Genomic DNA, 5192 nt, shown 5'->3' with positions numbered 1-5192 from the left:
AGTTCTGGATGCTGGGAAGTCCAAGATGAAGGTGTCAGCATATTCAGTGACTGGGGAAGGTCTACTTTCTGGTTCATAGATGGTCATCTTTGCACTGTGCCCTCACATGGCTGAATGGGTGAGAGAGCTCTCTGAGGTCTCCTTTATAAAGCGCACTAAAATACCCTTGTTATTGCCCTTGTACTTAATACCTTTGCATGAGGGCTCACCTTTATGACTTAATCAATTCCCAAAAGACCCACTTCTGAGTAACATCACATTGGAAATTGGATTTCAATATACAAATTTTTAGGGGGAAACAAACATTCCGTCTGAAGCACCATCTTTTCTAATCGAATGACTCCCATTGTAAGTTAAACAGATCAAAGGATGTGCAGGAATAATCAGTTCATTATCACTTCAGAAAACACCCCCACATAATAAGGTATTACCTCATTTGTGGAGATCTACGCACTCATCTGAAGCTACATGACCTACAGCTGTTGTTTCCTTAAATACATGAAGATCTCATGTGGCCATTGCTAAAGTGAAAGTTACTATATTTTCAGGAGAATGACAAGGTTAATGAAAGGCTTCCACACAAAAAGTGCAACCCCAGGTGTGTACATGGTGACCCTGGAAATAAAATGTGGCTAACAATATTTGGGGCTTTCATGTGAGACCTACATTACTTGAGGGCCGTAGATTGATAGTACCTCCCTCACTATCCACAACATGGCCTCTCACATGTGAATTCAAGCACAAAGAGAAAAATCCAAATCAAAAATTAAATTCAAGCATGTGATGTTAGAGAAGAAATGACTGAAGATAAGCATCATAAACTATTTTGAAAAATATTAAAGTTTTTCTTAAGATGACTAGCTAGGAACATTGGATGCCAATTCTCCTCAAAAGAACATCAAAGTTACACATGAATGGTCATGATCCTAATGGAAAGCTGAGGAAAGAGAGCCAGGACCTGTCAGCAGATGCACAGGAAGAAGCTGAAGTGCAGAAAAGGAACACAGCAAGAGTCTGGCAGAGATTGATTCCCTAGGAACTCAGAACCCTGCAAAAAGGGTATGTGGGGGTGCTTATCTGTTCCCCTCACTTCTGCAACAATCTGCTCATCTCCAAAGTGTTGGGGAGCCCCTTTGCCCTTGCGACCCTGGGCAATGCTGTCAGTGGAGATTTGGGAGACAATCTCTGTCTGTGGAGACAGAGAGCTGGGTGGCCAATTTGTGCAGATGTCCCACTTCCCTCAGGCCCAAACCGAGATAGTGGGCATTATTCCGGTTGTGGACCTATTGTGGGCCACTATCCTTCAAGGAACCTCAGCCCTTGAGTCACATCACTAGATCCCCTGCAAACATAGCCTACAACCAGTTTTGACTTTGGCAACCGCAGGGAACCAGCAAGTCCCCAGGGAGCTGTGGGATTCCCAGAGGTCAAGCCCTTGGTGCAGGCTCCCTCACCCCAGGTCGGGGGAACACAGCCCTGCAAACCACATCTTGGGACAAAAGTAATGCAGGTGCAGAACCGATTGCTGAATGGGTGGCACCAGCAGCTGGGAATGGATGTGGAGATGGGGTCATCCCTCTCTCCCCTCATCTACTGTTGCCAACACAGCAGAAGCTCTCCCCAGTGGGGGCCGACATGTATGCACTTGGATAAAGGCTTTCCAGAGCTTTTGGTGGTGGCTACACCCCTGTTGAAAGTGAGCCTGTACCTCACAGATTAGTTACCATGAAGGGTGAAGCCCATCCCTCCCTACTTACACAGAGTGGTAGTGTCCCAGCAATGGAGGGAAGACAAGCCATAGAGCTGTCTGCTCTGAGCTGGGAAAAGAAGTTCTGTCCTGAGCCCATTTTGGTGGTGGCCTCCAGAGGGGCATTTCCAGTGTCCCCAGCCACAGCCAGGAGCCAAAGGATAATGTCTAAATGAACTGAAAGTCATGAGCCCTGTGACGGGGTGTAATAGGAAGTGGATCATGTTACTGCTTTCCCAGGAGAAGAAACTGGTACACTACCCACCCCCTACCCCGAGACCTCAGCACACCCTCACATGATCTCCTCCCACCTCCCACATGAGGCCAGGTGTCTCCAGTCACCATCAGGCTTCCTGAGGGTGAGCTGGCTTTTAATCTTAAGTGCCACCTACTGGAAGGGAGACTAAACTGGAGCACCAAATAAAAGATCTACTGTCAGAAGGGCATAGTGCCAGTGCACACAAGATAAGGTTCCTGAGACCTCTGCACTCTTCGCCCCAGAGGAATTAGTGTGTTGGCTTATACATCCAATATATTGCTACAACAAGCAGTATTTGAGAAAACCACCACACAAAATCCATCCGCAACTAAGGAACACATACAGAGCTTTGACCCCAATAAGCACCCAGAAAAAAGGCCAAATGATAATACAAAAAATAGACCATAGTCATACCCTCAGGGGAAGAAAGAATAAAAAATTAAAAAGTCCCTTCCAAATGATAGCAGATTAAGAAATAAAAAGTGATGGCTCCCTCAGGTGAGAAGGAATCAGTACAAGGACTCCAGCAGTACAGAAAAGAAAGAAAGAGGCCAGGCGCGGAGGCTCACGCCTGTAATCCCAGCAGTTTGGGAGGCAGAGGTGGGCAGATCACGAGGTCAAGAGATGGAGACCGTCCTGGCCAACATGGTGAAACCTATCTCTACTAAAAATACAAAAAATAGCTGGTCGTGGTGGCGGGAGCCTGTAGTCCCAGCTACTCGGGAGACAGAGGCAGGAGAATTACTTGAGCCCGGGAGGCGGAGGTAGCAGTGAGCCCAGAGCGCGCCACTGCACTCCAGCCTGGCGACAGAGCAAGACTCCGGAAAAAAAAGAAAAAAAAAAGAAAATGTTTTGACACTTCCAAGAACACACTTGTTCTGTAGCAATGTATCCTAAAAAATGAAAATTCTGAAAAAAAGCAAGACCCAACCATCTGCTGCCTTCAAAAAACTCAGCTAATGAGTAATGATATCTGCAAGCTCAAATTAGAGAAAGGTATATCATACAAATGGAAAACAAAAAGAGTAAGGGCCGCCATTCTTGTTTCAGGTAAAGTAGACTTTAAAACAAGAACTGTAAAAGAAAAAAAGACAAAGACCATTGTATAACGATACAGCTCAATTCAACAAGAATATTTAACTATCCTAAATATATTCACACCCAACACCAGAGCACCAAGATTTATAAAATAAAAACTAACAGATATAAGAAAAGAGATAGATGGCTATACAATAATAGTTGGGTGACTTCAGCATCCCACTGGCAACACTAGATAAATTATTGAGGCAGAAAACTAACAAAGATATTCTGGACATTAATTGGATTCTTGAGTAAATGGACCCATTAGGCATCTACAGAATATCGTACCCAACAACTAAACAATATATATTGTTCTCATCTGCACATGGAACATTCTCTGAAACTGACCATATTTTGGTGACAAAACAAGTCTCAATAAATTTTAAAAATTCAAAATAATATCTAGTATTTTCTCAGACCACAGAGTGGAATAAGATTGGAAATAATTTCAATAATACTAAGAGGAACTCTCAAAACTACATAAGTACATGAAATTGAAACAATTTTCTTCTGAATGACTTTTGGGTTAACAAAAAAAATAAGAAAGAAATCAAAAAAATTATTTGAAACAAATAAAAATAGAGAACAACATACCAAAACCTTTGGGACATAAGAGGAAAATGTATAGGGCTAAATATATACATCAAGAATATAAAAGGCTGGTTGCAGTGGTCCATGCCTGTAATCCTAGCACTTTGGGAGACTGAGGCAAGCAGATCACTTGAGCCCAGGAGTTTGAGACCAGCCTGGGCAACATGGCAAAACCCCATCTCTCCAAATAAATCCCCAAGGATTAGCTGGGCATGGTGCCATGTGCCTGTAGTCTCAGCTGGTTGGAAGGCTGAGGTGGGAGAATTGCTTGAGCCCAGGAGGTTGAGGTTGCAGTGAGTCATGATCACACCACTGCCCTCCAGCCTGGGTGACAGAGTGAGACCCTATCTCGGAAAAAAAAAAAATACATGAATAAAGAAAGATCTCAAATGAATAATCTAATTTCACACCTCATGGAACTAGAAAAATAAGAAGCTAATTCTAGCAGAAGAAAAGAAATGACAAAGATCCCAGCATGATTAAATGAAATTGAGACCAACTAAATTATACAAAAGGTCAACAAAATGAAAAGTTGGCTTGTTGAAAGGATAATCAAAATTGATAGACCACTAGCTAGATTAACCAAGAAAAGAGAGAAGATTCAAATAAGTCCAATTAGAAATAATACCACAAAATACAAAACATCATTATAGGCTACTATGAACATCTCTGTGCACAGAAACGAGAAAATCTAGAGGAAATGAATAAATTCCTGGAAACATACAACTCCCAAGATTGAACCAAGAAGGAATTTAAATCCTGGTTAGACCAATAATCAGCTGTAATATTTAATCAGTAATAAAAAAGTCTCCCAACCAAAAAAAGCTTCAGACAAGATGGATTCACAGCTAAACTCTACTGAACATAGAAGAGCTAATACCACTCTTACTGAAAATATTCCAAAAATAGAGGACAAGGAAAACCTCTCTAACTTATTCTACAAAATTGGTGTCATCCTTACACAAAAATCTAGCAAGAACACAACAAAAACAGAAAAATACAGATTAATATCCCTGAAGAAAATAGATGCAAAATTCCTCAACAAAATGCTAGCAAATTGAATCCAGCAGCACATCAAAAAGTTAATTCACTACAATCAAGTATGCTTTATTCCTGAGATGCAAGGTTGGCTCAACATATGAAAATCAATAAATGTGATTCACCAGATAAACAATTAAAAATAAAAAGCATATGATCATCTCAATAGATGCAGAAAAAGCATTTGATAAAATCCAACACTCCTTCATGATAAAAACCATCAACAAATGAGATATTGAAGGAATATACCTAAAAATAATAGGAGCCATCTGTGACAAACCTACTGCCAACATCATGTGAATGGGGAACAGTTGAAAGCATTCCCCCTAATAACTGGAACAATATGAGGATGTCCAGCGTCACCGCTTCTATTCAACATAAGACTAGAAGTCATGGCCGGAGCAATCAGGCAAGAGAAAGAAATAAAAAGCATTCAAATTGGAAAACGGGAAGTAAAATTATCTCTGAATGCTGATG

Source organism: Homo sapiens, chromosome 18 (genome assembly GCF_000001405.40).
Source record: "Homo sapiens chromosome 18, GRCh38.p14 Primary Assembly".
In the NCBI taxonomy this organism is placed as follows: Eukaryota; Metazoa; Chordata; class Mammalia; order Primates; family Hominidae; genus Homo; species Homo sapiens.
The sequence above is the reverse complement of the archived record's forward strand: the minus strand, read 5'-3'. Positions refer to the sequence as shown.